Source organism: Homo sapiens, chromosome 11 (genome assembly GCF_000001405.40).
Source record: "Homo sapiens chromosome 11, GRCh38.p14 Primary Assembly".
Lineage (NCBI taxonomy): Eukaryota > Metazoa > Chordata > Mammalia > Primates > Hominidae > Homo > Homo sapiens.
This window is the reverse complement of record NC_000011.10, coordinates 62,848,306-62,875,873: the sequence shown is the minus strand read 5'-3', so window position 1 is coordinate 62,875,873 and position 27,568 is coordinate 62,848,306. Positions and strand designations below refer to the sequence as shown.

At 46.4% G+C, this 27,568-nt stretch overlaps 1 protein-coding gene, 1 long non-coding RNA gene and 9 other non-coding genes across 24 annotated transcripts in view, besides 12 other annotated features; 10 read left to right on the top strand and 1 right to left on the bottom strand.

The window, feature by feature from the left end:
• Positions 1–19,765, bottom strand: part of SLC3A2 (solute carrier family 3 member 2) — a 32,752-nt gene extending 12,987 nt beyond the window's left edge. Inside the window, exons 1-3 of one of the 3 annotated variants that reach the window (NM_002394.6) lie at positions 19,493–19,765; positions 5,037–5,129; positions 4,205–4,297 (exon numbers count right to left, since the gene is read on the bottom strand). In NM_002394.6, coding sequence (NP_002385.3) covers positions 4,205–4,297; positions 5,037–5,129; positions 19,493–19,604 — 298 coding nt within the window. In that variant the 5' untranslated portion in view covers positions 19,605–19,765. The remainder of the gene's footprint in view (positions 1–4,204; positions 4,298–5,036; positions 5,130–19,492) is intronic. The other 2 variants (NM_001012662.3, NM_001012664.3) reach the window with 2 other exon arrangements.
• Positions 9,174–9,332: a silencer, noted in NCBI's record as "fragment chr11:62634014-62634172 (GRCh37/hg19 assembly coordinates)". NCBI's record gives its function as "represses an EF-1alpha promoter that drives an FKBP-Casp9 reporter gene in an ReSE screen in phorbol 12-myristate 13-acetate-treated (for megakaryocytic differentiation) K562 erythroleukemia cells {active_cell/tissue: K562(+PMA)}" and the evidence as "EXISTENCE:reporter gene assay evidence [ECO:0000049][PMID:32094911]".
• Positions 13,936–14,840: an enhancer, noted in NCBI's record as "H3K27ac hESC enhancer chr11:62628506-62629410 (GRCh37/hg19 assembly coordinates)". NCBI's record gives its function as "activates a minimal SCP1, AML or CMV promoter by ChIP-STARR-seq in naive H9 embryonic stem cells {active_cell/tissue: H9 hESC(naive)}" and the evidence as "EXISTENCE:reporter gene assay evidence [ECO:0000049][PMID:30033119]".
• Positions 16,009–16,983: an enhancer, noted in NCBI's record as "NANOG-H3K27ac hESC enhancer chr11:62626363-62627337 (GRCh37/hg19 assembly coordinates)". NCBI's record gives its function as "activates a minimal SCP1, AML or CMV promoter by ChIP-STARR-seq in naive H9 embryonic stem cells {active_cell/tissue: H9 hESC(naive)}" and the evidence as "EXISTENCE:reporter gene assay evidence [ECO:0000049][PMID:30033119]".
• Positions 16,984–17,957: an enhancer, noted in NCBI's record as "NANOG-H3K27ac hESC enhancer chr11:62625389-62626362 (GRCh37/hg19 assembly coordinates)". NCBI's record gives its function as "activates a minimal SCP1, AML or CMV promoter by ChIP-STARR-seq in primed H9 embryonic stem cells {active_cell/tissue: H9 hESC(primed)}" and the evidence as "EXISTENCE:reporter gene assay evidence [ECO:0000049][PMID:30033119]".
• Positions 17,958–18,933: an enhancer, noted in NCBI's record as "NANOG-H3K27ac-H3K4me1 hESC enhancer chr11:62624413-62625388 (GRCh37/hg19 assembly coordinates)". NCBI's record gives its function as "activates a minimal SCP1, AML or CMV promoter by ChIP-STARR-seq in primed H9 embryonic stem cells {active_cell/tissue: H9 hESC(primed)}" and the evidence as "EXISTENCE:reporter gene assay evidence [ECO:0000049][PMID:30033119]".
• Positions 18,934–19,907: an enhancer, noted in NCBI's record as "NANOG-H3K27ac-H3K4me1 hESC enhancer chr11:62623439-62624412 (GRCh37/hg19 assembly coordinates)". NCBI's record gives its function as "activates a minimal SCP1, AML or CMV promoter by ChIP-STARR-seq in naive H9 embryonic stem cells {active_cell/tissue: H9 hESC(naive)}" and the evidence as "EXISTENCE:reporter gene assay evidence [ECO:0000049][PMID:30033119]".
• Positions 19,756–19,815: a silencer, noted in NCBI's record as "silent region_3434". NCBI's record gives its function as "represses an Ori minimal core promoter by ATAC-STARR-seq in GM12878 lymphoblastoid cells {active_cell/tissue: GM12878}" and the evidence as "EXISTENCE:reporter gene assay evidence [ECO:0000049][PMID:35858748]".
• Positions 19,876–20,055: an enhancer, noted in NCBI's record as "active region_4864". NCBI's record gives its function as "activates an Ori minimal core promoter by ATAC-STARR-seq in GM12878 lymphoblastoid cells {active_cell/tissue: GM12878}" and the evidence as "EXISTENCE:reporter gene assay evidence [ECO:0000049][PMID:35858748]".
• On the top strand, positions 19,989–23,896 carry SNHG1 (small nucleolar RNA host gene 1). Of its 12 annotated transcripts, NR_152581.1 has the most exons (12): positions 19,989–20,009; positions 20,408–20,450; positions 20,658–20,741; positions 20,936–20,986; positions 21,323–21,355; positions 21,810–21,856; positions 22,041–22,073; positions 22,284–22,322; positions 22,759–22,799; positions 23,035–23,063; positions 23,193–23,218; positions 23,438–23,896. It is a non-coding gene; the product is annotated as a small nucleolar RNA host gene 1 (long non-coding RNA). The 12 variants fall into 12 exon arrangements; NR_152583.1 differs by lacking the exon at positions 20,936–20,986; NR_003098.2 differs by having other exon boundaries at positions 23,193–23,896.
• Positions 20,166–20,245: an enhancer, noted in NCBI's record as "active region_4863". NCBI's record gives its function as "activates an Ori minimal core promoter by ATAC-STARR-seq in GM12878 lymphoblastoid cells {active_cell/tissue: GM12878}" and the evidence as "EXISTENCE:reporter gene assay evidence [ECO:0000049][PMID:35858748]".
• Positions 20,243–20,309, top strand: SNORD25 (small nucleolar RNA, C/D box 25). Its single transcript, NR_002565.1, has one exon. It is a non-coding gene; the product is annotated as a small nucleolar RNA, C/D box 25 (small nucleolar RNA).
• SNORD26 (small nucleolar RNA, C/D box 26) lies at positions 20,508–20,582 on the top strand. Its single transcript, NR_002564.1, has one exon. It is a non-coding gene; the product is annotated as a small nucleolar RNA, C/D box 26 (small nucleolar RNA).
• SNORD27 (small nucleolar RNA, C/D box 27) lies at positions 20,791–20,862 on the top strand. Its single transcript, NR_002563.1, has one exon. It is a non-coding gene; the product is annotated as a small nucleolar RNA, C/D box 27 (small nucleolar RNA).
• Positions 20,883–21,857: an enhancer, noted in NCBI's record as "H3K27ac hESC enhancer chr11:62621489-62622463 (GRCh37/hg19 assembly coordinates)". NCBI's record gives its function as "activates a minimal SCP1, AML or CMV promoter by ChIP-STARR-seq in naive and primed H9 embryonic stem cells {active_cell/tissue: H9 hESC(naive and primed)}" and the evidence as "EXISTENCE:reporter gene assay evidence [ECO:0000049][PMID:30033119]".
• SNORD28 (small nucleolar RNA, C/D box 28) lies at positions 21,179–21,253 on the top strand. The gene has a single exon (NR_002562.1). It is a non-coding gene; the product is annotated as a small nucleolar RNA, C/D box 28 (small nucleolar RNA).
• On the top strand, positions 21,589–21,713 carry LOC124900306 (small nucleolar RNA SNORD22). The gene has a single exon (XR_007063001.1). It is a non-coding gene; the product is annotated as a small nucleolar RNA SNORD22 (small nucleolar RNA).
• Positions 21,906–21,970, top strand: SNORD29 (small nucleolar RNA, C/D box 29). Its single transcript, NR_002559.1, has one exon. It is a non-coding gene; the product is annotated as a small nucleolar RNA, C/D box 29 (small nucleolar RNA).
• On the top strand, positions 22,142–22,211 carry SNORD30 (small nucleolar RNA, C/D box 30). The gene has a single exon (NR_002561.1). It is a non-coding gene; the product is annotated as a small nucleolar RNA, C/D box 30 (small nucleolar RNA).
• SNORD31 (small nucleolar RNA, C/D box 31) lies at positions 22,481–22,548 on the top strand. The gene has a single exon (NR_002560.1). It is a non-coding gene; the product is annotated as a small nucleolar RNA, C/D box 31 (small nucleolar RNA).
• On the top strand, positions 22,839–22,964 carry SNORD22 (small nucleolar RNA, C/D box 22). The gene has a single exon (NR_000008.2). It is a non-coding gene; the product is annotated as a small nucleolar RNA, C/D box 22 (small nucleolar RNA).
• Positions 25,135–25,194: an enhancer, noted in NCBI's record as "active region_4862". NCBI's record gives its function as "activates an Ori minimal core promoter by ATAC-STARR-seq in GM12878 lymphoblastoid cells {active_cell/tissue: GM12878}" and the evidence as "EXISTENCE:reporter gene assay evidence [ECO:0000049][PMID:35858748]".
• Positions 25,245–25,434: an enhancer, noted in NCBI's record as "active region_4861". NCBI's record gives its function as "activates an Ori minimal core promoter by ATAC-STARR-seq in GM12878 lymphoblastoid cells {active_cell/tissue: GM12878}" and the evidence as "EXISTENCE:reporter gene assay evidence [ECO:0000049][PMID:35858748]".

The window sequence follows — 27,568 nt, the reverse complement described above, 5'->3', positions numbered from 1 at the left end:
ACAAACAGGCTGGGCGCAGTGGCTCATGCCTGCAATCCCAGCACTTTGAGAGGCTGAGGCGGGCGGATCACCTGAGGTCAGGAGTTTGAGACCAGCCTGGCCAACGTGGTGAAACCCCATCTCTACTAAAAATACAAAAATGAGCTGGGCATGGTGGTGGCTGCCTGTAATCCCAGCTACTCAGGAGGCTGAGGCAGGAGAATCGCTTGAACCTGGGAGGCAGAGGTTGCAATGGGCCCAGATCGTGCCATTGCACTTCAGCCTGGGCAACAAGAGCAAAACTCCATCTCGAAAAATAAACAAACAACTAAAAACATCTAAGAAGGACTTTTTTTTTTGAGATGAAGTCTCGCTCTGTCGCCCAGGCTGGAGTACAGTGGTGCGATCTCAGCTCACTACAAGCTCTGCCTTCCAAGGTTCACACTATTCTCCTGCGGACTCCAGGTGCCCACCACCACGCCCAGCTAATTTTGATTTTTTTGTGTATTTTTAGTAGAGACGGGGTTTCACCATGTTAGCCAGGATGGTCTTGATCTCCTGATCTCGTGATCCACTCGCCTCGGCCTCCCAAAGTGCTGGGATTACAGGCGTGAGCCACCGTGCCCGGCCACATCTAAGAAGGATTTCTAAAGGCAGAGAGAAGATGGGAGGACAGCTAGAAACTCTTCAGGAGACTGTCTCTGTCCAACAGCCTCCATAAATCTTCGAAAGCCCAAGACTCTATTCCAAAGACCCAGAAACAAAACATCAAAGCTGCCTCTAAAATACCAATCAGCCAGAAATCTTGAAGATTTTAGCCATTTGAAAAATGAGGCCAGTGTGGTGGCTCATGCCTGTAATCCCAGCATTTTGGAAGAATGAGGCGGGCAGATCATTTGAAGTCAGGAATTCGAGACCAGCTTGGCCAACATGGCAAATCCCCATCTCTACTAAAAATACAAAAATTAGTCGCACACGATGGCGGGTGCCTGTAATCCCAGCTACTTGGCTGAGGCAGGAGAATCCCTTCAACCTGGGAGGCGGAGGTTGCAGTAAGCTGAGATTACACTGCACTCCAGCCTCGGTGACAGAGCAAGACTCTGTCTCCAAAAAAAAAAAAAAGAAAAAGAAAAAGGAAAGATGGGTGAGGAATTGAGCATTTGGAAGTCAAAGCGTGGCTGAAATTAAAGCAGAGAAAAAGACTCCAACTAAAGCAGTTCACTTCGCAGCTACTATCTGAAGAACCCATGTCAGAATACTATTAATTGTTACTATGAATCCTATAGGAGGGACACTGGCTGCTAAAGAAGAGACCTGTCAGGGTTGTCTTACTAAAGGGTGAAGAATGCAAAGTGGGGATAAAAGCCAGAAAGAGTGAAAGAAATAGAACCAAAGTCATCTCTTAGGAGAAGAGAAATAAATGCACCATCTGAAAAGTATCCAGTATTCAAGTAAGTTAGACAAATGAAAAACATTGCAGCAAGCCATTCTCTCAAATGAAACCAAATACTAAAAGATAAACACCAGAGAAATAGCAGGTCAGTATGTGGAAAATATGGGGTAGTACTTTTAACATATTATCCTTGGATTAATGACATCAGATATTCAACTGATCAGAGACAGAATACTTAATCTCATCAAAAAAGATAAGTAGCAATAAGAGACCTTAAAATGATCACTGAGGCCCTCCAACAGCAGCTATTTCTGCAGTCATGATCACACAATACTGCATCCTCATTTTCTCCCTCCCCTGGCCCTCCAAAACTTTGTCATCACACTCTGAGGAAGAGAATCACTAAGCGCAGCCTGCACTCAAGATGTACAGAGTTAAACTCTGTATCTCTGGGCAGAGGGAAGATCTACATAAATTATTTGAGACTCTTTCTCCAAAAAAAAAAAAAAAAAAAAAAAAAAAAAAAAAAAAATTAGCTGGGCATGGTGCAAGTACCTGGGGTCCCAGCTACTTGGGAAGCTGAGGTGGGAGGGACCACTTGAGCCCAGGAGGTTGAAGCTACAGTGAGTTATGATTGCACCACTGCACTCTAGCCTGGGCAACAGAGCTAGAACTGGTCTAAAATAATTAAAATAAAAATTAGAAATAAACAAAAAAACAAATAACTGATGAGCCTGGCCAGGTGCCATGGCTCACGCCTGTAATTTGGGAGGCCAAAATGGGAGAATCATTAGAGCCCAGAAGTTTGAGACCAGACAGGGCCACGTAGCAAGACCCCGTGTCTCTATAAAAAAAAGTTTGATTTTAATTAGCTGGCCGGGTGTGGTGGCTCACACCTAGTACTCCCAGCACTTTGCAAGGCCAAGGTAGGAGGATTACTTGATCCCAGGAGTTCAAGACCAGATTGGGCAATATAGTGAGACCTTGTCTGTACAAAATTTTTTTTTTTTTTTGAGACAGAGTTTCGCACTGTCACCCTGGCTGGTGTGCAGTGGTGCGATCTCGGCTCACTGCAACCTCTGCCTCCCAGGTTCAAGTGATTCTCCTGCCTCAGCCTCCCAGAGTACCTGGGACTACAGGGGCCCACCACCATGCCCGGCTAATTTTTGTATTTTTAGTAGAGACGGGGTTTCACTAATGTTGGCCAGGCTGTTCTCGAACTCCTGACCTCATGATCTGCCCGACTTGGCCTCCCAAAATGCTAGGATTACAGACGTGAGCCACCAGGCCCGGCCACAAAAAATTTTTTAAATTAGCTGAGTGTGGTTGCACATGCCTGTAGTCCCAGCTACTCGGGAGGCTGAGGTGGGAGGTATCACTTGAGCCTGGGAAGTTGAGGGTGCAGTAAGCTGAGATCACACCACTGCACTCCAGCCAAGGCCACAGAGCGAGACCCTGTCTGAAAAATATATATATATTTTATAATCAATAAGGTGAAAGAGAATATAAAATATTGAGAAGTAGATATTTAGAGTATGGTATGCTGTAACAGAAAATTGAATTTGAAATATCACTCATTCTGCAACTAAAAAATTGGTTAGGCCAGGCACAGTGGCTCACGCCTGTAATCCCAACACTTTGGGAGGCCAAGGCGGGCGGATCACCTGAGGGCAGGAGTTAAACACCAGCCTGACCAACATGGAGAAACCCCATCTCTACTAAAAATACAAAATTAGCCAGGTGTGGTGGCACATGCCTGTAATCCTAGCTACTCAGGAGAATAAGGCAGGAGAATCACTTGAACCGGGGAGGCAGAGGTTGCAGTGAGCCGAGATCGAGCCATTGCACTCTAGCCTGGCCAAGAAGAGTGAAACTCCGTCTCAAAGAAAGAAAAAATTGGTTAATTTCAACACCAAGTCTCTTAAAAGGAGGCTGGACTATAGAGAAACTAAAGACAAATTCTGTTTTCTGTTTCTTGGGTTTTTTTGAGACAGGGTCTCTCTCTGTTGCCCAGGCTGGAGTGCAGTAATGTGATCTTGGCTTACTACAGCCTTGACTTCCTCAGCTTAAGCAATCCTCCCACCTCAGCCTCCTGAACAGCTGGTATTACAGGAGCATGCAACCATGCCTGGCTAATTTTTGTATTTTTTGGTAGAGACAGGGTTTTGTCATGTTGTCCAAGCTGGTCTCGAACTCCCGGGTTCAAGTGATCTGCCTCCCAAAGTGCTAGCATTAGAGGCGTGAGCCACTGCACTCAGCTAATGAATTCTTTTTTTAAAAAAGCAGAGGGCCAGGTGCAGTGGCTTACGCCTGTAATCCCAGCACTTTGGGAGGCCAGGCAGACGGATCACAAGGTCAGGAGATCGAGACCATCCTGGCTAACATGGTGAAACCCCGTCTCTACTAAAAATACAAAAAAAATTTAGCCAGGCGTGGCGGTGTGTGCCTGTAGTCCCAGCCACTTGGGAGGCTGAGGCAGGAGAATGGCGTGAACCCAGGAGGCGGAGGTTGCAGTGAGCTGTGATCACGCCACCGCACTCCAGCCTGGGCGACAGAGCAAGATTCCATCTCAAAAAATAATAATAATAATAATAAAATAAAGATTTGATGTCATAAAGAAATTAGTGCTCCCCAAACAATCTAAAAATCCAAATGCAATTCTAATACAAATCTTAATATCTGGTGGTGAGAACTTTGTAAGATGACTCTATAATTCATGTGCAAGAGAAAAGGGCAGAGAATAGTAAAGATATCTTTAAAGAAAAAAAATCGTATTTTTAAAGACAAATTCTACCAGATAGCAAGCATGTTATTTGCTAAAATAATAATTACCTGTAACCTCAGCATTCTTGGAAGCTAAGGCAGGAGGATCACTTGAGGCCAAGAGTTGAAGACCAGCCTGGGTAACACAGTCAGACCCCGTCTCTACAAATAATAATAATAATAATATTATATAAAGTATGGTTGGGCACAGTGGCTCACGCCTGTAATCCCAGCACTTTGGGAGGCCGAGACGGGCGGATAACCTGAGATCAGGAGTTCGAGACCAGGCTGGCCAATGAGGCAAAACTCCGTCTCTACTAAAAATACAAAAAATTAGTCAGGCATGGTGGCGGGTGCCTGAAATCCCAGCTATTTGGGAGGCTGAGGCAGGAGAATTGCTTGAACCTGGGAGGCAGAGGTTGCAGTGAGCCAAGATCACGCCACTGCACTGCAGCCTGGGCAACAGAGCAAGACTTCACACCAAAAAAAAAAAAAAAAGATAAGCCCTACCAGGCAGCAGGCATGTTATTTGCTAAAGGAATAATTACCTGTAATCAGGCCGGGCGCAATGGCTCACGCCTGTAATCCCAGCACTTTGGGAGGCCAAGGCAGGCGGATCACAAGGTCAGGAGTTTAAGACCAGCCTGGCCAATATGCTGAAACTCGTCTCTACTAAAAATACAAAAATTAGCCAGGCGTGGTGGCGGGCGCCTGTAGTCCCAGCTACTCAGGAAGCTGAGGCAGGAGAAACACCTGAACCTTGAACCCAGGAGGCGGAGCTTGCAGTAAGTGGAGATCGCGCCAGTGCACTCCAGCCTGGGCAACAGAGCAAGACTCCATCTCAAATAATAATAATAATAATAATAATAATAATAATAATAATTATTATTATTATTATTACCTATCATCTCGGCATTCTGGGAAGCTGAGGGAAGAGGATCACCTGAGGCCAAGAGTTCGAGACCAGTCTGGGCAACACAGTGAGACCCCAACTCTACAAAAAAAAAAAAAAATAATAATAATAATAATGTATAAAGTAACAATCATAGTATGCTAAAGACACAGGGATGGGCAAGTGTCCAACGGAACAGAAAACGAGCCTAAAAATAACTCATGCATACTTGAAACAATATACGACAGAGATAATATAATCAGTGGGGAAAGAATGAACTATTTACCAAATGGTACTATAAAAAAATAAAATTAGATCACTACTTCACACCAATCACAAAATTATATTCTAAGTAATCAAATAGGCCAGGCGCGGTGGCTCACACCTGTAATCCCAGTACTTTGGGAAGCCAAGGCGGGCGGATCACAAGGTCACGAGATCAAGACCATCCTGGCCAACATGGTAAAAAAAACCCCATCTCTACTAAAAATACAAAAATTAGCTGGGCGTGGTGACGCACACCTGTAGTCCCATCTACCTGGGAGGCTGAGGCAGGAGAATAGCTTGAACCTGGGAGGCAGAGGTTGCAGTGAGCCGAGATCACGCCACTGCACTCCAGGCTGGCAACAAAGTGAGACTCTGTCTCAAAAAAAAATAAATAAATAAGTAAATAAATAAAATTTCAGAAAAAAATAAGAATATCTTTCTGACCTCAGGATAAGAAAAGAGTTTTAAAGAAGAAACAAAAGAGGCCAGGTGCGGTGGCTCACGTCTGTAATCCCAGCACTTTGGGAGACCAGGGCGGGCAGATCACAAGGTCAGGAGTTCGAGACAAGCCTGGCCAGAGAGCAGCCTAGCCAACATGGGGAAACCCCGTCTCTACTAAAAATACAAAAATTAGCTGGGCGTGGTGGCAGGCACCTGTAATCTCAGCTACTCAAGAGGCTGAGGCAGGAGAATAGCTTGAACCCGGGAGGCAGAGGTTGCAATGAGCCGAGATCGCGCCACTGCACTCCAACCTGGGCGACAGAGCAAGACTCCAACTCAAAAAAAAAAAAAATACACAAAAGAATAAATCATGAAGAAAAAGACAAATAAATTGTGCAACATTAAAAGAGAAAAAATTATGCATCACAATTTGCCATAACAAACTGAAAAGACAAGCCACAAATAGAAGACATACTATCTGAAACTAATATAGCTAACAAAGTAGATGAAACATATAAATTATCACTAAAAACCAGTACGAAAAAAACCAATAATCATCAAGAAAAAAAATCACCAAATAGAAATTCTATTCTTTTTTTTTTTTTTTTTTTTTTTGAGATGGAGTCTCGCTCTATCACCCAGGCTGGAGTGCAGTGGTGCAATCTCGCCTCACTGCAACCTCCGCCTCCTGGGTTCATGCCATTCTCCTGCCTCAGCCTCCAGAGTAGCTGGGACTACAGGCGCCCGCCACCACGCCTGGCTAATTTTTTGTATTTTTAGTAGAGACAGGGTTTCACCGTATTAGCCAGGATGGTCTCGATCTCCTGACCTTGTGATCCGCCCATCTCGGCCTCCCAAAGTGCAGGGATTACAGATGTAAGCCACGGCACCCACCAAATAGAAATTCTATTCTAATCACATAATAGAAATAGCCAATTCAGGCCAGGCGTGGTGTCTCACACCTGTAATCCCAGCACTTTGGGAGGCCAAGGTGGGTGGATCACTTGAGGTCAGGAGTTCAAGACCAGCCTGGCCAACATGGTGAAACCCTGTCTCTACTAAAAATACAAAAATTAGCGGGGCGTGGTGGTGCAAGCCTGTCGTCCCAGCTATTCGGGAGGCTGAGGTGGGAGAATCACTTGAACACGGGAGGCAGAAGTTGCAGTGAACTGAAATCACACCACTGCACTCCAGCCTGGGCGACAGAATGAGACCGTCTCAAAAACAAAAAAGCCAATTCACAAAATTAGATATACAAAAGAATGGTAAAGATTACAAAACCTCATTAGTAATCTGGAAAGTGCAAATTAAAATGGCAAGAAAATAGAATTTCATGTCCGTCAGATTGGCAATATGAAAACATCTGACTAAACCAAGTGATTAGGAGGATACAAATTGCATAAGTGGCAACATTAGTTGGTACATCCGTTCTAGGAGAGCAATTTGCAACCGCCTATAGAATGAAAATACCCTTGGCCGGGCACGGTGGCTCACGCCTGTAATCCCAGCACTTTGGGAGGCCGAGGCGGGCAGATCACGAGGTGAGGAGATCAACACCATCCTGGCTAACATGGTGAAACCCCGTCTCCACTAAAAATACAAAAAATTAGCCAGGCGTGGTGGCGGGCGCCTGTAGTCCCAGCTACTCAGGAGGCTGAGGCAGGAGAATGGCGTGAACCCAGGAGGCAGAGGTTGCAGTGAGTGGAGATCGTGCCACTGCACTCCAGCCTGGGCAAGAGAGTGAGACTCCATCTCAAAAAAAAAAAAAAAAAAGAATGAAAATACCCTTTTACCCACCAACAGTCCTAGCTAGATTCATACCCTAGAGAAACTCTCACACATGTACACAAAACAATATATAAAAGATTTCACTGCAGCACTGGTTATAGTAGTAAAAATTTGGAAATTTGAAAAATAGGCCAGGCGTGGTGGCTCACACCTGTAATCCTAGCACTTTGGGAGGCCAAGGCAGGCAGATCACCTGAAGTCAGGAGTTTGAGACCAGCCTGGACCACACTGTGAAACCCCGTCTCTACTAAAAATACAAAAATTAGCTGGGCATGGTGGCAGGAGGCTGTAATCGCAGCTACTCAGGAGGCTGAGGCAGGAGAATCACTTGAACCTGGGTGGAAGAGGTTGCAGTGAGCCAAGATCATGCTATTGCACTCCAGCCTGGGCGACAAGAGTGAGACTGTCTCAAAAAAAAAAAATTTTTTTTGAAAAATAATTTGTAGAACATTTGTAAAATAATTTGTAGAAAATTTCTAACTAGAATACTAGAAATGACTAAATTTGAAAGAACCAGGACATAAAAGATAGGCAAAAATGTGTCAAAAACATAATGTTAAAGAAAAAAGGGGTCAGGCATGGTGGCTCATGCCTATAATCCCAGCACTTTGAAAGGCTGAGGTGGGAGGATTGTTTGTGGCCAAGAGTTTGAGACCAGCCTGGGCAACATAGTGAGATAAACATCTTAATTTTAAAAATTAAATTAAATTTAAAGAAAGAGGGAAGCAGCCGGGCACGGTGGCTCACGCCTGTAATCCCAGCAGTTTGGGAGGCAGAGATAGGCAGATCAAAAGGTCAGGGGATCGAGACCATCCTGGCCAACATGGTGAAACCACGTCTCTACTAAAAACACAAAAATTAGCTGGGTGTGATGGTGCACGCCTGTAATCCCAGCTACTCGGGAGGCTGAAGCAGGAGAATAGCTTGAACCCGGGAGGCGGAGAGTGCAGTGAGCCAAGGTCGGGCCACTGCACTCCAGCCTGGAGACAGAGCGAGACTCTGTATCAAAAAAAAAAAAAAAAAAAAAAGAAAAGAAAAGAGAAAGAATAAAGGGAAATAGGCCAGGCACGGTGGCTCACACCTGTAATCCCAGCACTTTGGGAGGCCGAGGTGGGCGCAACACCTGAGGTCAGGAGTTCAAGATCAGCCTGACCAACATGGAGAAACCCCATCTCTACTAAAAATACAAAAAATTAGCTGGGCGTGGTAGCGCATGCCTGTAATCCCAGCTACTCAGGAGGCTGAGGCAGGAGAATCACTTGAACCTGGGAGGCGGAGGTTGCGGCGAGCCGAGATCAGTCCATCGCACTCCAGCCTGCACAACAAGAAACTCCATCTCAAAAAAACAGAAAGAAAAAGAAAAAGAAGAAAAAAGAAATAGCAGATTCACCTTAAAGTTTTTTCCAGAAACCAAAAGATACGGTGGAATGTGACAGTCTGAATTTTAACTGACATCTGCCCCAAAAGGTAGAACCACAGCATTCATGGAGGTAATGCAATACTATATTGACTTGTAAAAAGGATGAGCAAGTTTAAGTTTTTATTCAATCTCCCTGTTCCAAAAATCTATCTGATAAAGTATCCTCAAGTACAGAACTGATGAGATGTTAGAGGATAAGAACAGATACTATTCTGGCTCACAGACCAAAAAAGCAGGGCCAGATGCGGTGGCTCACCTTGTAATCTCAGCACTTTGGGAGGCTGCGGAGGGCGGATCACCTGAGGTCAGGAGCTTGCAATCAACCTGGCCAACATGGTGAAGGCCCATCTCTATTAAAAATACAAAAATTAGCCAGGTTTGGTGGCACACACCTGTAATCCCAGCTACTTGGGAGGCTGAGGCACGAGAGTAGCTTGGACCCAGGAGATAGAGTTTACAGTGAGCCAAGATCGTGCCACTGCACTCCAGCCTGGGCAATAGAGTGAGACCACCCCCCCACCTGCCAAAAAAAAGCAAAGAAACTACCACAATTAACATTCCCATCAGGATGGATCACCTGAGGTCAGGAGTTCAAGACCAGCATGGCCAACATGGTGAAACCCCGTCTCTACTAAAAATACAAAAATTAGCTGGGGATGGCGGCAGGCACCTGTAATCCCAGCTACTTGGGAGGCCGAGGCAGAAGAATCTCTTGAACCCAGGAGGCAGAGGTTGCAATGAGCCAAGATCGTACCATTGCACTCCAGCCTGGGCGACAAGAGCAAAACTCCATCCAAAAAAAAAAAAAAAGTGGCTGAAAAAAGTGGGCATGCTGGAATAGATATACGTACTATACTGTACTATGTGAGACCAGAGAATGGTGTTCCAAGAAAGGACCCGAAGGACACATTTACAAGACCATCAAGAATATACTGGTGACATCGGTGGACATCAGCATCACTTAGAAATTCAGTGGTGGCTTCTGAGCAGTCCACAGCTGATGACAGGAGAAGCAGTCAGAGCTGAGCTACTCAAGATATACGGGGAAGTATCTCCCAACACGTAACAGAGGCTGGGTAGCATTGCTTAGCTGCCAAAAGCCAGAAATATGCAACTACCATAAAACTGTCAATGTTGCAGGGGTAGCCATGAGGCGTTTGATTCACAGAGTTGTGGATACAATAGAGCATGGCATCCTTAGGGGAAAAATATGCGGATAGCCAAAAAGGATGCTACTAAGCATCTACAAACAGAAAAAGGCAAGAATAGAGGAGGAAGAGGCAGCTAAGGGCAATCACCACAATAAACAGGCAAAATCCTTGATTCAGCTCCTGGATCTAAGCCAACTTTTTTTTTTTTTTTTTTTTTTGTGGGGGAGACAGAGTCTTGCTCTGTTGCCCAGGCTGGAGTGCAGTGGTGCAATCTAGGCTCACTGCAACATCCTCCACCTCCAGGGTTCAAGGGACTCTCCTGCCTCAGCCTCCCTAGTAGCTGGGATTACGGGCACACGCCACCATGCCCAGCTAATTTTTGTATTTTTAGTAGAGATGGGGTTTCGCCACATTGGCCAGGCTGGTCTCAAACTCCTGACCTCAAGTGATCTGACTGCCTTAGCCTCCCAAAGTGCTGGGATTACAGGCATGAGCCACCGCACCTGGCTGAAACAACTTTCACATCCAAAACTCAATTACTGAAGAGGTACACAAATCCCTACGAAAGGATGCTAAAACTGTAACGGTTCTGCCAGTTCCTCCTAAAAGGGAGAATGTCAACATATCACTTACTCAGATAACGGTACACTGGGTAAAGGGAAATGCCTAAACACTTTGAGGATTTTGGGCACAAGATCTGAGCTGACATTGAGACCTGGAAACCCAAAGCTTCATCATGATTCCCACATTACAGTGGGGACTTACAGGTGTCAGGCAGTAACTGAAGTCCTAGCCAAAACTTACTAGCTCATAGTAAGTCTGCTTGTCCATGGACCCATCACTAGATATTTCCTCAGTTCCAAGTGTTTAAACGGGGACTGGGCATGGGAGGCTGAGGCAGGAGAATTGCTTGAACCCAGGAGGTGGAGGTTGCAGTGAGCCGAGATTGCACCACTGCACTCCAGCCTAGGCGACAGAGTGGGACTCTGTCTCAAAACAAAAAAAAAAATTAGCGGCCGGGCGTGGTGGCTCACACCTGTAATCCCAGCACTTTGGGAGGCCGAGGCGGGCGGATCACGAGGTCAGGAGGTCGACACCATCCTGGCTAACACAGTGAAACCCCGTCTCTACTAAAAATACAAAAAATTAGCCAGACTTGGTGGTGGGCGCCTGTAATCCCAGCTACTCGCAAGGCTGAGGCAGGAGAATGGCGTGAACCCGGGAGGTGGAGCTTGCAGTGAGCCGAGATCGCGCCACTGCACTCCAGCCTGGGCGACAGAGCGAGACTCCGTCTCAAAAATAAAAATAAAAATAAAAAAAATAATTAGCCAGGCGTGCTGGTGCGCGCCTATAGCCTCAGCTGCTTGGGAGGCTGAGGACCAAGAATTGCTTGAACTCGGAAGGTGGAAGTTGCAGTGAGCCCAGATGGCACCACTGCAAGCCAGCACATTCCATCTCAAAAAAAAAAAAAACCAAGTATTTAACAGGATTGATATACTTAGGAGTTGAAGTAATCGCATTGGGTCCTTGGCCTAAGAGGTAAGACCTATCATAGTGGGACAGACAAAGAGATCTCTAAAACCCCTCCCTCTCTTCAGCTATGATAGTAAATCAAAAGCAGTATCACATCCTGGGGAGGGACAGAGATTAGTGCCACCATTAAAGACAAAAAGAATGCACGGGTGTGGTGTCTGTCACATCCAGACTTAGAAATATATCTCCAGCCCACATACCGGCTAAGCTGCCAACTTTGACTCAAACTCTGAGCAGGAAAGGGCTCTGCATCAAGTCTAGGATGCAATGCACACTTAAGCCATGCAATCCAGCAGATCCTGGGGGTTCAAAGTATCAGTAGCGAAAAAAAGATTCAGTGTAGAACTTATGGCAAGCTCCTATGGCAAAAGCACAATGCAAGTCCCTGAGATTCTGGAGCAAGGCCAAGCTGTCCAAAGCAGGGAAGTAGGTGCCTTTTGAGAAACAGCATCAGGGCTGTTACTGGAAAGCTTGACTATGAAGCATCCAGAACTGCCCCATTATGAATTGGGTCTTGTCAGACCTATCAAGTCATAAAGTCAGACAGACCCTTTAGTCAGATATAAAGATGGAAATGGTATATTCATGATGAAGCTGAAAGCAGAACCAGAAAACATTAGTACATTGCATGAGCAGGTAGCCCAGATACCCATGTTACCCACTGCAGTTGTAAAAGCACCTCTTCCCTGGAAGACCACCTCAATGTCACACTCCTCCACAACCCAGGAAATTCTATTTATGTTGGGCCAGGTATAGTGGCTCATGCCTGTTTCCCAGCAATTTGGTCGCTTGAGCCCAGGAGTTGGAGACCCGCCTAGGCACCATAGTGAGGCACTGTCACACTCCAAAAAATTAAAGAATTAGCTGGGTGTGATGGCACATGCCTACAGTCCCAGTTACTCAGGAGGCTGAGGTGGGAGGATCCTCTGAGCCCAGGAGTTCAACACTGCAGTGAGCCGTGATCACACACTGCATTCCAGCCTAGGTGACAGAGTGAGATCCTGGTTCAAAAAGAAAAGAAATTGAGGCCCAGAGTGGTGGCTCACGCCTGTAATCCCAGCACTTTAGGAGGCTAAGCCAGGCTGATCACTTAAGGTCAGGGGTTCGAGACTAGCCTGGCCAACATGGTGAAACCCCGTCTCTACTAAAAACATAAAAATCAGCTGGGAGTGGTTGCAGCGCCTGTAATCCCAGCTACTCAGGAGGCTGAGGCAAGAGAATCGCTTGAACCTGGGAGGCAGAGGTTGCAGTGAACTGAGATCACGCCACTGCACTCCAGCCTGGGTGACAGAATGAGACCCCATCTCAAAAAGAATTTGAGCCTTTTCTCCACTGTCACGTCTCTGCCAGTTCCCTGACAAGCACTGGTCATTTGCATATCCTTCTCCTCTATTAATTGAGGCAGTGCCTCTTGCTGCCAGGTGGGGGCAGGGTTGCTCCTTGAACAAACACTCTCCAGACCTCTCTAAGAGCAAAATCATTTGGTAAGGTAGGACAGTCAATGAATTGGCTGAGAAAAGATCATTTAAAAATTTACAGCATTCCCAACATAAAGAGGCAAACTGAAAAAAACTTATAGAGGTAACTAATAAATGTATATTGAGTCCTATTTGTGAATTGTATTCTGCTAGACAATAGAGATAGCAGGATGATTTACCTAGATAAAATCAAACCCCAGGGAGTTGACTGTGGGTGAGAAGGGGTAGTTTAGGCTTGGGGGAGGGGTGGCGATAGGGAGGAAGGGCTTTTTTCCTGTAGAGATGGGGGTTTCATCTTACTATGTTGCCCAGGCTGGTCTCAAACCTCTGGCCTCAAGGGACCCTCTCACCTTCGCCTCCCAAAGTGCTGGGATTACAGGTGTGAGCCATTGGCCCTGTTAGAAGCAGGGCTTTTTTTTTTTTTTTTTTTTTTTTGAGACAGAGTCTCACTCTGTCGCCCAGGCTGGAGTGCAATGGCGTGATCTCAGCTCATCGTTGCGATGAGCTCATCGTTGCCTCCACCTCCCAGGTTCAAGCAATTCTTATGCCTCAGCCTCCCGAGTAGCTGGGATTACAGGCACACTCCAACATGTCCAGCTAATTTTTGTATTTTTAGTAGAGACGGGATTTCACCATGTTGCCCAGGCTGGTCTTGAACTCCTGACCTCAGGTAATCCGCCTGCCTTGGCCTCCCAAAGTGCTGGGATTACAGGTAAGCCACCGCGCCTGGCCTAGCAGCACTTCTTAATGGCTGTATTGATCAATTTGGGCTATAGCTTAAAGACAATGGAGAGGCACTGAACTGATTGTGAGCTGAAGTGGGACCTGACCAGACTTTTTTTTTTTTTTTTTTTTTTTGAGAGAGGTTTTGCTCTTGTTGGCCAGGCTGGAGTGCAGTGGCACGATCTCAGCTCACCGCATCCTCCGCCTTTCTCAAGCGACTCTCCTGCCTCAGCCTCCTGAGTAGCTCGAATTACAGGCATATGCCACCACGCCTGGCTGATTTTGTATTTTTAGTAGAGATGGGGTTTCTCCATGTTGGTCAGGCTGGTCTCGAACTCCCAACCTCAAGTGATCCACACGCCTAGGCCTCCCAACGTGCTGGAATTACAGGCATGAGCCACTGTGCCCGACCGACCAGAGTTTTTATTCGTAAAGATCACTCTGACTACAGTGTGGAGAATGAACTAGAAGGGAAGAAGCCAGAGCCAGGAAGCCAGACTGAGTCTGTTACCTAGGGATTGCTTTGGGAGGCCAAGGCTGGAGAATCACTTGAGCCCAGGAGTTTGAGACCAGCCTGGGCAACACAGCAAGACCTCTGTCTATTCAAAAAGCAAAATAGATTAGCTGGGCACGGTGGCCCATGCCTGTAGTCCCAGCTCAGCCCAGAGGATTGCTTGTGTGCAGGAGTTTGAGGTTACAGTGACCAAGAGTGAAACCCTCTTTTTTTTTTGAGACAGGGCCTCTATTTGTTGCACAATTAAAGCTCACTGCAGCCTTGAACTCCTGGGCTCAAGCAATCCTCCCCACCTCAGCCTCCCCCAGAACTGGGACTATACACATGCACCACCACACGCAGCTAATTTTTATTTTTGTAGAGACGGGCTCCATATGTTGCCCAGGCTGGTCTCAAACTCCTGGGCTCAAGTAGTCTGCTTGCCTTGGCCTCCCAAAGTGCTGGGATTATGTGGGGGAAAGAAAGAGAGATCACACTGTTACTGTGTCTATGTGGAAAAAGGAAGACATAAGAAACTCCATTTTGATCTGTACTAAGAAAAATTATTCTGCCTTGAAACACCGTTAATCTGTAACCCTAGCCCCAACCCTGTGCTCGCAGAAACATGCACTGTATTGACTCAAGGTTTAATGGATTTAGGGCTGTGCAGGATGTGCTTTGTTAAAAATGTGTTTGCAGGCAGTATGCTTGGTAAAAGTCATCGCCATTCTCCAGTCTCGAGTACCCAGGGACACAGTGCACTGCGGAAGGCCGCAGGGACCTCTGCCCAAGAAAGCCTGGGTATCGTCCAAGGTTTCTCTCCACTGAGACAGCCTGAGATATGGCCTCATGGGAATGGAAAGACCTGACCGTCCCCCAGACACCCATAAAGGGTCTGTGCTGAGAAGGATTAGTGAAAGAGGAAGGCCTCTTTGCAGTTGAGATAAGAGGAAGGCATCTGTCTCCTGCTAGTCCCTGGGAATGGAATATCTCTGTATAAAACCCGATTGTACATTCTATTTACTGAGATAGGAGAAAACCGCCTTATGGCTGGAGGTTAGACATGCTGGCGGCAATACTGCTTTTTTTTTTTTTTTGAGACAGAGTCTCGCCTTGTCGCCCAGGTTTCACACCATTCTCCTGCCTCAGCCTCCCAAGTAGCTGGGACTACAGGCGCACGCCATCACACCCGGCTAATTTTTTTTTTGTATTTTTAGTAGAGACGGGGTTTCACCATGTTAACCAGGATGGTCTCGAACTCCTGACCTCGTGATCCACCCACCTCAGCCTCCCAAAGTGCTGGGATTACAGGCGTGAGCCACCGCGCCCGGCCAATACTGCTCTTTACTGCGCTGAGATGTTTGTGTAAAGTCAATCATAAATGTGGCCTACGTGCACATCAAGGCACAGCACCTTTCCTTAAACTTATTTATGACACAGAGTCCTTTGCTCACATGTTTTCCTGCTGACCCTCTCCCCACCATTACCCTATAGTCCTGCCACATCCCTCTGGCTGAGATGGTAGAGATAGTGATCAATAAATACTGAGGGAACTCAGAGACCAGTGCTGGTGCGGGTCCTCCGTATGCTGAGCGCCAGTCCCCGGGTCCACTTTTCTTCCTCTATACTTTGTCTCTGTGTCTTATTTCTTTTCTCAGTCTCTCGTCCCACCTGACGAGAAATACCCACAGGTGTGGAGGGGCTGGCCCCCTTCAGGATTACAGGCGTGAGCCGCTCCACCCAGCCTACTTTTTTTAAAATGCCCTCTTTTCTAGTAGATTCTATGTCACTCACAAGAGGTTGCAAACTCACAATCAAAGGCCACCTTTGGCCCACGGGCATATTTTGGTTTTTTGTTTGTTTTTGAGACTCACTCTTGTCCCCCAGGCTGGAGTGCAGTGGGGTGATCTTGGCTCACTGCAACTTCCACCTCCCGGGTTCAACCACTTCTCCTGCCTCAGCCTCCTAAGTAGCTAGGATTACAATCGCCTGCCACCGCACCCACACCACGCCCGGCTTATTTTTGAATTTTTAGTAGAGAAGGGTTTTCACCATGTTGGCCATGCTGGTCTCTAATGTGGGGAAAAGCAAGAGAGATCAGATTGTTACTGTGTCTGTGTAGAAAGAAATAGACATGGGAGACTCCATTTTGTTATGTACTAAGAAAAATTCTTCTGCCTTGAGATTCTGTGACCTTACCCCCAACCCCGTGCTCTCTGAAACATGTGCTGTGTCAAACTCAGGGTTCAATGGATTAAGGGCGGTGCGAGATGTGCTTTGTTAAACAGATGCTTGAAGGCAGCATGCTCCTTAAGAGTCATCACCACTCCCTAATCTCAAGTACCCAGGGACACAAAAACTGCGGAAGGCCGCAGGGACCTCTGCCTAGGAAAGCCAGGTATTGTCCAAGGTTTCTCCCCATGTGATAGTCTGAAATATGGCCTCGTGGGAAGGGAAAGACCTGACTGTCCCCCAGCCCGACACCCGTAAAGCGTCTGTGCTGAGGAGGATTAGTATAAGAGGAAGGCATGCCTCTTGCAGTTGAGACAAGAGGAAGGCATCTGTCTCCTGCCCGTCCCTGGGCAATGGAATGTCTCGGTATAAAACCCGATTGTACGTTCCATCTACTGAGATAGGGAAAAACCGCCTTAGGGCTGGAGGTGGGATCTGCGGGCAGCAATACTGCTTTGTAAAGCATTGAGATGTTTATGTGTATGCATATCTAAAAGCACAGCACTTAATCCTTTACCTTGTCTATGATGCAAAGACCTTTGTTCACGTGTTTGTCTGCTGACCCTCTCCCCACTATTGTCTTGTGGCCCTGACACAACCCCCTCTTCGAGAAACACCCACGAATGATCAATAAATACTAAGGGAACTCAGAGGCTGGCGGGATCCTCCATATGCTGAACGCTGGTTCCCCGGGTCCCCTTATTTCTTTCTCTATACTTTGTCTCTGTCTTTTTCTTTCCTAAGTCTCTCGTTCCACCTTAGGAGAAACATCCACAGGTGTGGAGGGGCAACCCACCCCTTCACTCTAACTCCTGACCTCAGGTGATCCGCCCACTTTGGCCTCCCAAGGTGCTAGGATTACAGGCATGAGCCACCACGCCCGGCCAAAAAATTTTAAATTCAACATTTCAACGTGAGTAAATACACAATTCTGGACTTCTGGATTCTTTTGAAAACTGACTATCTGATCACACAGAGACAATATTGTCGCAAGGCAACAATCAGCTGGAGCTGTGAAAGGGCTGCCCAGTTCACCAGAGTCCCAACTCAGTTCATTTCACTTACCTACATTACTTAGCTGATTTCTGTACGTGAGTTGGAGACCCCTAACCTAAATCCCCTCTTTTCCACTTCCACTGCCATTATACTTGTTAGCATTGAATCCTCTTGCCTAAACTACTATGGCAATCTAATTAATGCCCTTGTCTCCATCTTATCCCCCAATGTCTTATCACTTTCCTACTTAAAAACTCTCCCCGGTTTTTTTTTCTTTTCTATGTATAATTCAAATGATTTAGCTTTGCATTCAAGGTCCTGCTTATCTGGCTTTCCCCAGGAAATACTTTCCAGTTTTATATTCTAATACTCCCCTTTTGCCCATCTTTCATGAATTGTAGCTACACACTTCCTTCTTTTTCTAGCACCAAGCTTGTGCTCCAGTTGTTCCTTTAACTGGAATTCCCCTCCCAAGTCTTTCTACCCTTTCAGGCCCAGACACTCTATAAAGCATTTCCCGACTGCCATTCCCACACACAACCTCCCCAGCCTTGTCTGTCTACTCTGGGCCATCTTGATTTTCCAGTTTATCTGTCCCACATTTTTTTTTTTTTTTTTTTTTTTTTTTTGAGACAGGGTCAATCTCAGTCATCCAGGCTGGAGTGCAGTGCAGTGGCTTGATCACAGCTCATTTGCAGTCTCAACCTCCTGGGCTCAAGCAATCCTCCCACCTTAGCCTCCCAAGCAGCTGGGGCTACAGGCATGCACCACCGCTCCTGGCTAATTTTTTCTATTTTTTTTGTAGAGATCGGTATGGGTTTCTCACTATGTTGCTTAGACTGGTCTTGAACTCTTGGGCTCAAGAGATCCTCCCGCCTTGGCCTCCCAAAATGCTGAGCCAGGCCGGGTGTGGTGGCCCACCCCTGTAATCCCAGCAGTTTGGGAGGCTGAGGCAGGAGGTCACCTGAGGTCAGTAGTTCGAGAGCAGCCTGGCCAACATGATGAAACCCCGTCTCTCCGAAAAACACAAAAATTAGTGTGGCATGATGATGGCGGGAGCCTGTAATCCCAGCTACTCAGGAGGCTGAGGAAGGAGAATCGCTTGAACCTGGGAAGCGGAGGTTGCAGTGAACAGACATCCCGCCACTGCACTCCAGCCTGGGCGACAGAGCAAGCCTCCGTCTTGAAAGAAAAAAATGTTTGGCCGGGCGCGGTGGCTCACGCCTGTAATCCCAGCACTTTGGGAGGCCGAGGCAGGCGGATCACCCGAGGTCAGGAGTTCAAGACCGGCCTGACCAACATGGAGAAACCCTGTCTCTACTAAAAATACAAAATTAGCCGGTCACAGTGGCGCATGCCTGTAATCCCAGCTACTCAGGAGGCTGAGGCAGGAGAATTGCTTGAACCCGGGAGGTGGAATGCAGTGAGCTGAGATCGGGCCATTGCATTCCAGCCTGGGCAACAAGAGCGAAACTCCGTCTCAAAAAAAAAAAAAAAGAAAGAAAAAAATGTTTATAAAGTGTGCTTGTACACGTAGATGTTTACCACAAACGACTGAACTAATGTTGTCCGGTCTCAGTAAAACAGTCTATAGCTGACTGCAACCATATTGATCAGGCAGGAGTTGCAGCAGGCAGCACCGCCGGAGCTCTTTAGGGTTCCCCATCAATAAAATGGGGGTTGTCATCCTACCTAGCTCTTGGGATTTTGGTGGATTAATCGATTCATATAGTGTGCTTAAAACGGTGCTCCATAAATGTTAGCTAATGTTGGCCCGTAGTAGTCCAAGATCTAAAGAAAACGCACCAGAAGGCAGGACATAGGGAACCAGTTAGGAAAAAATCAGATCCTGTCTTCAGTGAAGCACTTACGTCCTGACATACTTTCCCGAAATGGCCCCACCAAAGGGGACCTCCTCCCGAGCTTAGCCCGGGATCCAGTACCTGAGTCGTCCCCCGCGCTGAGACCCTGGACACCAGCCTCCGAATGTGAGCCAGGCAACTGGCGCGGAATCGACACGACGGCGATCGAGGCTTCAGGAGGCTGTAGCTCCATGGAGGCGGATCCTGCACACAGGTTTGGGGTGTGTGGGCAAGGGGCAGCTCAGAACAGGGTTAGAGGGTAGGCAGTCGTGACCGTCAGTCCAGGATCGCCGTGAGGCAGTGATCTCACCGCTCCTGCCACATGCACTGGGTGAGAAAACCAAGCCGCAATGCGGTCGGTGAGCCAGCACGCTCCCGTAGGACGCATGCGCGCCTTTTTCGCGCCGCAAGTTCAGGTGGCGCTTTGTCTACGCCCTCCTTCCCTGGAACTCTCTACCCACAACTCCCCGGGGTCGCATGCGGTCAACGTATGCGCGTGCGCTCGCCGTAGCCCCGCCCCCAAATCCCGTGGGCCTCTGCGGCATGGTATTTAATCGTCTCCCCGGGGAGATTCGTTCTCATTTTTCTACTGCTCGTGGTAAGTGGCTTCGTGGTCTTTATAGCTGTTACTCTTTTGTACTTTGTCTTTTTCTTTTATTTTCTTTTGAGCGATTGTGCGAACATAGCATAGCACGCACTATGCCTTCTGTGTTGTAGCTGCCTGGCCAGGGCGACTGGCGGATAAGGTCTTGTGCGTGGCCTCGAGGCTTAAAAGTAGCAGTGGGGCTTTGTGAAGGACAAAATGGCGATGGCGGGCCGTGTAGGTCCCCCTTCCTATGATGAGGACCTTTTCACAGACCTGTACTGAGCTCCGTGAGGATAAATAACTCTGAGGAGATGGGCCCTGCAAGCCTCTTGCTTAGCCGTCTGTTCAGAAAATAGCGTTTTCGAAATGCCCTGAGTTGACCTAATGTCTTATTGGGCTCCTGTCTGCAGGATTTACGCGCACGTTGGAACCGAAGAGAGCTCTGTTGTTGCAGTAAGTTCTTACGGCCATTTCTTAATCTCTGCTCTTTCGTTGAGTGTGTGGAAGTTGCTACGGGGATGATTTTACGAACTGAACTCTCTCTTTCTGATGGATTAGTGGAGAAAACAGAAAATTCTGAGTAGCACTGTACTGTACGCAACAAATGTCAGGGCCCTATTGATTTGTCTGAGGTGTTAGTGAAGGGTGTTATTTTTTCAGATGTTCAGCCCACAAGAGCTTACTGGTGAAGGAATGGGACAAGACCCATCTTTATGCAAAGCCAGCGTTACAGTAATGTTCCAGGTAGGTGTACATGGTTTATGCTCTTACAGAGGAGACCTTGTAGATAACCACTCCATGATGAACACAAAATGACAAGCATATGGCTGAACTTTCAAGTGATGTCATCTTACTACTGAGAAGTGAGAGAGAGGTCTTAAGGGGTCTTTGAATGACTATTTTTAGGTACATAAAATGCTTTCCTCTGTTGTCTACAGCATCTCATAATCTATCCTGGGGAATTCAGCTGCCTCCCAGGGTGAATACAGGTAATTATCCAAATTGGTGTATGTCATCTTTGTAAATGTTCAAGAAAACAAGTGGCCGGCGGAACAATGTTTTTTGGCGCCTTCCATCTTGTTCCTCTTGAAATGATTTTCTGGGGAGGGAGATCGCAACCCGGTACTACAGTTCTTGTAAGGGTGTGCTGTTACCCTCATCCATATATCGATCACGTTACTGTCAGATGATTTGAATTGATAAGCTGATGTTCTGTGAGGTACAAAAGTTAATAGCATGTTAGAGTTCTGATGGCAGTTGTTGTTTATGAATAAGCTTCATTCCATCCTAATACCTTAAAATAACTAATTTGCTTTCCTTTCCAGGTATTCCTGATGACAGTCTGCCTCTATCTTACAGTAAGTTGTTTTTCGAATTCTATGGGCCTATTATCTAATAGATAACTTAGCCATTTTGATATTTGTTACCAAAGCCTGCTTAACCCATAAAGTTTTCTGGTTCCTCTTGTTCTCTGTAGTGATGTTTCTAGATAGATGCCCACTGATATATGCCCCTTTTTTCTCAGATAGATGCCCACTGATCTGCCCAGGGTCAGACGAATGCTTGTCAGTTGTAGCTTTCCAGGATTCTGCTCCAATGAGGAGGAAACATCCTGCCTTACCCCTGTTTTAGCCTGGGAACCAGTAATTGTGAACTCACCAGGGTTAACATGAAGAGGGCATGAGAGCTTATTCCATAAGGAATTGTCTGAGACATTTGGTTACCTTTTCTTAGTTTGTCCATTAGCAACCGTAACTAAAATAGTTTTGGCTGTTTGGGATAATTAGCTAATTGAATGATTTTTTGATTCAGGAGCAGCTTGTTGCTATATACCATTGAAAAGCCTTCAGAGCTGAGAGGTTAGTTGATATTTTTTGTTCCTTACAGCTTATGCCACCAAGTAGGCAGTTTCTATGATGAATCAAACTAGCTCACTATGACCGACAGTGAAAATACATGAACACCTGAGAAACTGGAGAACGCAGGGAGTGGGGGGTAACCATGTCTGAGGAATCTTTCACCCACAGCTTTGTTTTTCTCTAGGTACTACTAACCAATAACCTGCTTGGCTCAAAGGTGAGTAATTTCACGGTATTCAATGCACTCAGTATATAGGGTAGGAAAAAGTGCCTTTTTAGGCCTGTGTTTGTGATGACTTACATGGAATCTCGTTCGGCTGATGACTTGCTGTTGAGACTCTGAAATCTGATTTTCTGAGAATGATGGGTGGGAACAACATAATGCGGGATATGAGAAGCACTACTGACTTGGTCTTCCTCCTTTCAGGGCCAGCACCTTCTCTCTAAAGCCCAAGAGGAGTTTGAGGTAAATGGCTTTGCAATAGTTACCATCAATGGCTGCTATATAAAATTTTCTGTGATTTTTGTGTGTGATAGCACTGTGGTCTGGGTGAATGTACACAGACATAACTGGCTTAACCCAAAGTCTTTGATCTCCTGAACCACCAGTGATGAATTGCTGCTCACCAGTGATGAGTTGAATACCGCCCCAGTCTGATCAATGTGTGACTGAAAGGTATTTTCTGAGCTGTGAGCCTGCCTTCCAGTGACATGTTCTAAAAATTGCAAGTTATTTGAGGAGGCTTTACAGCCAATAGGAAGTTCTTGGGCTAAGTAGTGTTTCCTATAAAATGTGCCCTGAAACTTCTTTCTGCCAAGCAATAGATACAATTGAGAGATTGTAAAATGTGACATAGAATGAAAGTCTCTCAAGACTACATTTTTCTTTCTTGATTTTGCAGGAAAACTAGGTGTCTGTGTTCACTCCAGGCTGAAGTTACAGGTGAGTAAACCTAAATGTAAGGTGGACTATGCTAAAAATTCCCAATGAAGAAACTTTCACATGTCTTACTCTCTGTCCTAGTCCCAGAGCCTGTAAAGGTGAACCCACTGGGACTGGCTGGGGGAGAAGAGGAAGATTTGTTCCAGAAGGAACTGTCTGAGGGATGATAAAGATTTCTATACAGAGAAAGGGAGTAATCATCACTTGTTGAAAACATTGGTTTTATTTTTTCCAGGTCTGAGCAAATAAGGTGTATAAAAAATGGTAGGTATCTGTTTAAATATTTAACTGATTTTATAATAGCAACCTTTTGCTCCTAGGTTACATAGTGTTAAATATTGTGTTCATTTGTATTTTCCAATCCAATAAGAACTTTTTTTTTTACCTCTGCAGGAATCTGTCTTGGAGGACATCAGAAGGTGAATTTTCCAAGTTCTTGGACAACCTAGCTGTTGAAAAGCTTTCTGGGTTTGGGGGGTATTTCAGATGTACCTTAAAGTGTTAGCAGACACAGATTAAGACACTGGGAGCCAATGAAACAGCAGTTGAGGGTTTGCTGTGTATCACATTTCTGTATTTTATCACCCCCTTCCTGCAACATTATTTATCTGGAATCTACCTGCCCTTTTGTTTTTTAGATACAAGGGCTTGGTTTTGTTACCCAGGCTGGTTTCAAGGCCATAGCTTTAAGAGATCCTCTCACCACAGATTTCCAAAGTGCTGGGATTGCAGGTGTGATTCATGGCACCCAGACTTTGCTGCCTTTCTTACATGATCCAGGCCCAGAACCCAAACTCAGGCACTGTATAGATGACCACTTTCGTAAACTACTGACCTAGCTTGTTGCCAATTGTTGATTGAACTTCCCATAACTCCACTTCGTGTCTGTTCCTCTGTATACAGCCACCTTCTGTTCCCGTCATGAGCCTTTAGGTCTCCATTTGCATATTGCAAATACTATGTTCCATGTAGGTAGCTCATTCAGGGCCTTGCTCTTCACTTCAAAAAAGGTTCCCTTGAGGACTGGCTGTCAATTTGTGTTGCTGTGTTGGTTGTTGATGAAAATAATAAAATGATTGATTACATAGTCCTGTTTACTTTTTTTGTGTGTATGTGTCTCTTAGCATCAGTGTGTAAATTTCCATGGGAAACTGGCTTTCCTCTCATGCTCCCTGAAGTACCTGGAACTTGAAGGGACATCTGACAGTTTGCCTGATAGGCAGTGTGTTAAATGAGTAACCTGAGTAGAACATCCATCTTTTTTTTTTTTCTCTTGCCTAGTCTTAGAGTACAGTGACATGATCACAACCTCACTGCAGCTTCAAGCTTTTGGGCTTAAGCAAACCTACTTGACTTTAACCAGCAGCTGGGGCTGGGACTACAGACACCACACCCAGCCCAAATCTGTTTTTTCCTGGGGGAAGCAAGGGACAATGGAGTCAAGCTGGAGTGCAGTAGTGCCATCTCGCCTCCCTGCAGCCTCCACCTGGATTGAGTGATTGTCCTGCCTCAGCCCCGAGTAGCTGGGATTGCAGATACCTGTCACGAAGCAAGCCTAGTTATTGGGATTTTAGTAGAGGTTTCACTATGTTGACCAGGCTTAGTCCTGACCTCAAGTGATCTGCCTGCCTCCCAAACCTGTGCCTTTTTTTTTTTTCTGAGGTGGAATCTCGTTCTTGTCACCCAGGCTGGAATGCAGTGGCATTATCTTGGCTCACTGTAACTTCACCACCTGGGTTCAAGCCATTCTCCCTGCCTCAGCCTCCTGAGTAGCTGGAACTACAGCCGCATGCCACCACACCCGGCTACTTTTTTGTATTTTTAGTACAGATGGGGTTTCACCGTGTTAACAGGATGGTCTCGATCTGACCTCATGATCCGCCTGCCTCGGCCTCCCAAAGTGTTGGGATTACAGGTGGGAACCACTGCACCCAGCCAAATTATGCTTTTTATTTTATTTTTTTGAAACGGAGTTTCTCTGTTATTTCCCAGGCTGGAGTGCAATGGCAGGATCTCTGCTCACCGCAACCTCCGCCTCCCAGGTTCAAGCGATTCTCCTGCCTTAGCCTCCCAAGTAGCTGGGATTACAGGCATGCGCCACCATGCCTGGCTAATTATTGTGTGTGTGTGTGTGTGTGTGTGTGTGTGTATATGTATATATATATATATATATATTTTTTTTTTTTTCAGTAGAGACGGGGTTTCTCCATGTTGGTCAGGCTGCTCTTGAACTCCTGACCTCAGGTGATCCACCCGCCTCGGCCTCCCAAAGTGCTGGGATTACAGGCATGAGCCACGGTGCCTGGCCAAATCTCTGCTTTTTAATTGGCCTTGAGGAAGAAGGGAAAGCACAGGGACAGTGCCAACCTGTGGATACTATGGGGTACAGAGTTGTGTATGGTTAGGTCAGCAGCTCTCAATTTTTTCAGACGGTCTTGCTCTGTCACCCAGGCTGTGGTACAGTTGTGCGATCACAGCTCACTGCAGCCTCAACTTGCTGGGCTCCAGTGATTCTCCCACCTCAGCCTCCCAAATAGCTGGGACCACAGGTGCACACCACCATGCCCAGCTAATTTTGTATTTTTGTTAGAGACAGTTTCACCATATTACCTAGGCTGGTCTTGAACTCCTGAGCTCAAGCAGTCCACCCAACTCTGCCTCCCAAAGTGCTGGGATTACAGACATCTGCACCTGGCTGCTTTTCTTTGTTTTTTGTTTTTTGTGGGTTTTTTTTTAAGCCACCAGGTATTAAAGCCGGTTCTCAATCTTTTTAACCAGGCAGAATATGTTTGGAGAGATTTCTTCAGTTTTTTCTGTTTTTTTTTTGTTTGTGTGGTTTTTTTTGTGTGTGTGTTTGTTTTTGTTTCTTTTGAAGCTCTTTGTCACCCAGGCTGGAGTGTAGTGGTGTCATCATGTCTCAACACAGCCGCAAGCTCCTGGGCTCAAGCGATCCGACACCTGAGTTTCCCGAGTAGCTGGGACTATAGGGACATGCCTACTATGCCCAGGTAATTTTAATTTTTTGTAGAGATAGTCTCACTATGTTGCCCAAGTTGGTCTCGAACTGGGCTCAAGTGATCCCACTGCCTCAGTGTCTCAAAGTGTTGAGATTACAGGCATGAGCCACTGCACCCTGCATCCCTCAGAAGAGCAATTTTTTAAATCTTCCCTGAGCTTGGAGACTCCAGCCTGCATTGACAGGTAGCCCCCCTTTGGGTGATTCTGTTGTAAGCCACCAGATAATGACTACCCTTATATTTCTCAAAGTGTTTGGGAGAATGGACACCAAGTAGTGATAAATTACGGGATTTTTACCTGTTTTATTTTTTATTTATTTACTTTTTTTTTGTTTTTTGAGAAGGAGTTTCGCTCTGTCACCCAGGCTGGAGTGCAGTGGTGTGATCTCGGCTCACTGCAACCTCTGCCTCCCGGGTTCAAGCGATTCTCCTGCCTCAGCTTCCCAAGTAGCTGGGACTACAGGCGTGTGCCACTACACCCAGATAATTTTTGTATTTTTAGTAGACACGGGGTTTCACTATATGTTGGCCAGGCTGGTCTCGAACTCCTGACCTCAGATGATTCACCCACCTCGCCCTTCCAAAGTGCCAGGATTACAGGTGTGAGCCACCGCACCAGGCCCTGTTTTTAATTTTTGTTTGTAAATTTTAGGATTTCTCCGGTCAGAATTATAAGAACAGCAACTCAGCTGAAACAACACACATTTTTTGCTCATTAAATGGTAGCCACATAGACTTGAGAGTTGTCAGCACAATAATTTACAACCACAAGAATGGAAGAGTCAATTCTGAGAAGACCACCCAAGGACCCTAGGGGAGCACCAGAATTTAGAGATGGAGGATCAGCAGAACAGAAACTTAGAAAAGCAGTGCAAGCAGTGGGAACCTGCACGGTACTGACTTGCAAACTGAGGGAAGTCTCCCCACTGCCCACAGCTGAATCTTTTGTTAAAGCCACAAAGAAGTCAGGTGGGGACTGGCCAGGTGCAGCGGCTCACACCTGTAATCCCAGCACTTTGGGAGGCAAAGGTGGGCTGATTACCTGAGGTCACAAGTTCAAGACCAGCCTTGCCAACATGGTGAAACCCCATCTTTACTAAAAGAAATGAGCCGGGTGTAGCGGCATGCACCTGTAGTCCCAGCTACTCAGGAGGCTGAGGCAGGAGAATCTCTTGAACCTGGGAGGACTCCAGCCTGGACGACACAGCAAGACTGTATCTCAAAAAAAAAAAAAAAAAAAAAAAAAAGGCCGGGCACAGTGGCTCACACCTGTAATCCCAGCAGTTTGGGAGGCTGAGACAGGCGGATCACCTGAGGCCAGGAGTTCAAGACCAGTCTGACCAACATGGAGAAACCCTGTCTCTACTAAAAATACAAAATTAACCGGGCATGGTGGCATGTGCCTGTAATCCCAGATACTCGGGAGGCTGAGGCAGGAGAATCGCTTGAACCCGGGAGGCAGAGGTTGTGGTAAGCTGAGATCGCACCATTGCACTCCAGCCTGGGCAACGAGAGAAACTCCATCTCAAAAACAAAAAAAGAAATGAGACTGGGACAATATGGAGAAATGGAGGAGAAGGCCAGAATGATTGAGGCCTGGCTCTTCACATTTCTTCTGTACATTAATGACTCAGACTACAAGGTCTTTAGCAAGAACCTCTTCCCTAAGCTCCAGAGGAGCTTGCAGTGAGCCGAGATCACACCACTGCACTCCAGCTGGTTGACAGAGCGAGATTCCATCTCAAAAAACAA